At 37.9% G+C, this 4,917-nt stretch overlaps 1 protein-coding gene across 17 annotated transcripts in view; it reads left to right on the forward strand.

Annotated features, from left to right (window-relative positions):
• The window catches only part of ST7 (suppression of tumorigenicity 7), a 276,676-nt gene that overhangs the window by 224,263 nt on the left and 47,496 nt on the right, over window positions 1–4,917 (forward strand). The gene's annotated exons all lie outside the window — the stretch shown is intronic.

The raw sequence follows: 4,917 nt of genomic DNA on the forward strand, positions 1-4,917 counted from the left end.
GGAAGGGGACCTCGGATTGGCTTTTTGAAGGTGGGGCAAAAAGACCTCATACTGCCTGGGATCAACAGTAACAAAAATTTAAGGAGAATCCTGTATGTCTATTGTTTTCTTTACATCATATCATAAACAAGTAAATTGAGAAATTAATCACATAATGGGACAGTAAGAACACATCACAATCCACAAACAGGTTACGAAGGAGAAATGGACTGCTTTTTAAATTTCTTTTCCATTTTTGTTTGTTTGTTTGGGTCATGCTTCCAAGAGCATCTGTGAAGGCCAAATATGCTGGATTATAGGAGCTTCAAGTGTATCTGGTAGAAATGATATCATTTGTTGCCTGATATAATTTGTTGCCTGACCAAGAAAAGGGATTCTTGGTACTTCATAATTTTAAAGGATAACAGAGAGTAAATAGGTTAATTTTTTTCAAATTATTTCAGCAAGGATCTGTTGAGTCCTTATTATGTTGAAGTACGAACTTTTAGGTGCTTTAGATTCAGAGATAAATATAACCTATTCTCTGTCACCAAGATGGTTTCAGTCTAGTAGAGAAAGATGTTAAAAAACAAAAATACAAAAAAACAGGCGAAGCGAGATGAATCAGTGCTCAGTGAGTCTGTTTGAAACAAGCTGTGGGGAGTGCAGAGAAAGAAAGCCCTTGAGAGCAAACTCATGCCCCCCTACTTTCATCTCAACCTCTGTGTACTAGGGTAGTCATTGGGAATATCTGTGGTCTGTGAGTGAATTGATACATAAGATCCCACTACGACACAGTGTTCTCATTTGTGAGATGGTTTGGGATTTATATATCTACTTGCTGCCACCTTTGAAAAAATTTTAGATTCATAGATATGAGAATTGACCCTCAGTTGACCTATCATGCATAAGAATAGTAATGATCCTTTTAAAACTACGTCTTGATTGTTATTACTGGGAGATGAACAAAAGGATATTAGGTCAAAAAGGTTATCATGGAAAACTGTTCTATCCTGTCTAAAGTTTTGCACCATAAGTTTTCCAAGACCCATCTAATTGACAGTTTTACTCATAATTACAGACATTTCTTCCAAGATTATTGAATTAAAGTTTGGCTATTATGAACCACTTATGACTTTTGAAAATTCAAGAGTCATTCTCCCTAAGATGACCTTTTGTTTCAGCAGCAGCATTCCAATAACGGGTCCTTAAGGAGCCAGAAGAGGTGTGGTTTTCTTTGTTTTTTCTACTTTTCTTCAACCTTGTTTCAGTTTTTACTTTATTGTTTTTCTTCATCCTGCCCCATAATTTCATTCCACTGCTGTTTCAAATAGACATCGAGATTAGAGCACCAACACAATTTCAAACTCTGCTGGAACTGTAAGCAAAGATAAATGCAGTACACATGTTGAGAAATAACAAGTTTCTGATTCCCTATTAGAACGTACAACACTGATCAATTTTGGCTTCTAGGAGCTAAATTGGATGTAAATGTTTGCAAAATGAAGGAAGCTAATATCAAGATATTTGAGATGTTAGTACATTAATTTAGGATTTTATTCAGCAAACACTGAGCGCCAACTATATTTCAGACATTGTTTTTTGTTGTGGGTGCAAGGTGATGAAGAAGCACAGCTTTTACTCCTAAATCACACCATGTACGCAGGACAGGGAAGTAAGAGAACAGGCAATTGCTGTTAAGTATAAAGATTGTGATACACTTTAGCCCAGGATGGAAGGGGCACTGCATGCAGCAAGGAGGAGTGACGGGAGTCTTCCCCTTGGAGGTGGTGTCTGAACTGGACAGCAAAGGTGCTTGAGGCAAGGAAAGCATATGGAAATGTGCAGAGGCACAATTGGCATGGCTTATTTGGAGAATTGTCTGTATCCCTTAGAGCAGAGGGATGAGGAGGGATGCAGTGAAGGGCAGAAGATGCCTTGGGTGAGTTAGCTGGGGGTGTGGGGGGGTAGGGGGACTGGATTAAAATCCAAGCTTGGATTTTATTTTATGGGCCCTGGAGAGGCCTGGGGCAATTTCAGGTAGGGCTTCAGTCGAGCCCAGAGTGAAGGGGGTGGCACAATACATTCACACCATGCCCCCTTTTGAGTGGAGGTACTTGAGAAATCACAGTGGGAAAGCACTCAGATGTGGAAGAGTGGAGTGCCACTGCAGTGGGCTGGCGAGGTGACCTCTGACACTATAGTGGAGCACATTCTGTCCTGGAGGGAGACATTTGTGAGGTTTTCTGAACATTGGTGTAAAAGAGTTAGAATTTGGTTTTTCTTTCTTAAGCAACAAATGGGAATCCTAGTGCAGAAACTTTTGTCTCCTGGGTGGGAAAACTTCTTATTTTAAACTATAACCACTTTATTTCATTTGCTTCCGGGTAATCTCTTAACTACAAGAAACTGAACCCTATGTAGACCCACCATAACCCACAGATAATCTTTCAAGGGAGCATAACTAAGGGAGAAGAGCCTGTCAGGACCTATGTAGCCCATCAGTGCCTACCTACTTCTGCTGAGTCGTTAACAATGACATGAGGAGAAAAAATGTGGAAGAGGGGAACAGGTGGTGTGTACAGCTGTACTTTCTATAAAGGCTGTGAATTTGAAGATAGTAGAGGACATGATGCGAATGCCTGTATAAATCTCACTTGCTAAAATCAAACCATCTGAAAAATTCCTGCCTTGTTGATACTTCAGTTACTACTAAAGTAGACAAAGCATGAGAATAATACCATGGATTTAATTCTTACCGAAAAGGAAGAAGCTTAAGAGAAAGAGACCATGTTATCCTGTAGCTATAGTTAAAAAAATAAATAAATAAATAAAAGGAATATTAGGCACAGGTGTACCTTGAATCTGAAACAAACAAAAGTAACAAAAAGTGAAAGCCATGCTCTTTTTTGTTGTTTTTGTTTTGAGACAGGGTATAGCTCTGTCGCCTAGACTGGAGTACAGTGACATGATCACAGCTCACTGCAGTCTCAACTTCCCATGCTCAAGTGATCCTCCCACCTCAGCCTCCCAAGTAGCTGGGACTACAGGTGTGAACCACTATGCCTGGCCAATTTTTTCTATTTTTTGTAGAGATGAGGTCTCACTTTGTCACCTAGGTTGTTTCTTGAATTCCTGGGCTCAAGTGATCCTCTTGCCTTGGCCTCCCAAAGTGCTGGGATTACAGGTGTGAGCCACCATGCCCAGCCTTTTATTTGTTTATTTTAATTCAGAGGAAAGATAAATATGAAACCACAAATGGAATTTCAATTAATATAACTTACTTTATGCTGAGACTATTTGGCATAGGAGATACAGAGAGTTTTTTTAAAACTGGAAAATGGTTCGTGAAGGATGAAAGACTAAAAGTTGAAATTGCAATTAGTCCCAATAGATAAAAGTGTAAGGAAATATAAATGATTAAAGTGTACAAAAAGATCAGAATGACAGATAGCTAAATAAGTACGTACAAGTCAGGTATAAACTTAGAAGCAGGTTTTCAGGGTGGCTAAACACCAGAGGAAGCTAAAGTCTCCCACATTACAGGATTTAATGTATGACTCTATTGTCCAAAAAAACAGTGAAGAATGATGATAGGGAAAGTAAAAGCAGGTATCACACTAACATTATGGGATAGTGACAAGGACATGGTATTGCAGGTTCAGTTCTGCCACTCATTTGTTAGGTGGCTCTTAAGAAAATCGTTTAACTTTGCTGGGCCCATATTTCTCACCTATAAAAGAAAAAGATTTTGGGAGGTTGACCTTGGCAGTCCTGTACTGTTGTTCAGTTTTTCGTCTGTATCTTGTGGTAGTACTGTTTTGAGCAGAAAATATTGTATTAATACGTTGCTGAGGTATAATTATTCATTCCTATTTTATATTTCCCTTTAGTATTTTTTACTTTTTAAAAGAATGTATCAAGTCAATCCCAAGCAAATCCTGGAAATAATTATGTGGTTTTTGACCACAGGAAAAAAGATGGTGATTGGGGATCTAACAATAGATTTATTAAGAAAAAATTGTGTCAAATAAACACAGATGAGATAGTGGATATGAAAATACTGTTTGTCTATACAATAGTATTTAAATGTTTATCTTATTAGTGTAAATGGCCCTTTTCCTTTGTCTTTCTGAAATAGGAGAATACCATAAATGTGTTTACATCTTTATTTAAACAAAGCATTTGGTAATATTTTAAATGCTGTCCTTTCAGGTACCATGGAGGAATATGGATATAATACCTAATTAATAAGTGGTTGCAGACATATCATTGCAGACTGTTGCAAATTGAGGGTGATCTCTAGAATCCTATTCCCAGATTCTCTCATTGGTATTGCCATGGTCAGTATTTCTAAAAATCAGATCTTGGAAACACATAGCACAGTTTAAAATCATGTGCTCAGATTTGTTCTAGATTTGTGATATTGGCATATTTCTTAACCATTCTGTGCTTCATTTTCCCCATCTATAAAACAGGGCTAACAGTCCTACCTCATAGGACTGCTCTGAGGATTAAATAGGATAATGTATATAACTGATTAACACCAGTGCCTGGAAGTTAGCCTTTAGTAAGTGTTGGCAGTCATTTTGATGATGATAATGGTCATTTAGGGAAGAAGATATGGAGGGAGCAAAGCTGTGCATGGTAGCTTGAATCAGAAAAATGACTAATAAGCTGGAATGACGTACTGAAACTATTAAGATTTAATGGCTCAGATTTAATTTTAAGATTTGAAATTTAATGGAATCAGATGTGAAATCCTGCCTGTATGTTTTTATTTTTATTTTTTAATGTTCATGGCTTACATAAAAGGGAGAAAAGACCTGACTTTAGCTGAAGTCTATTTGAATAGAATTGGAGGTGGGGGGTATTGTTGACCACACAATCATAGGAACAAACAGAGTCCCAGCTGCTCAACACCAGGGCCGTTCTAGC

This window comes from Homo sapiens, chromosome 7 (genome assembly GCF_000001405.40).
Source record: "Homo sapiens chromosome 7, GRCh38.p14 Primary Assembly".
NCBI lineage: Eukaryota > Metazoa > Chordata > Mammalia > Primates > Hominidae > Homo > Homo sapiens.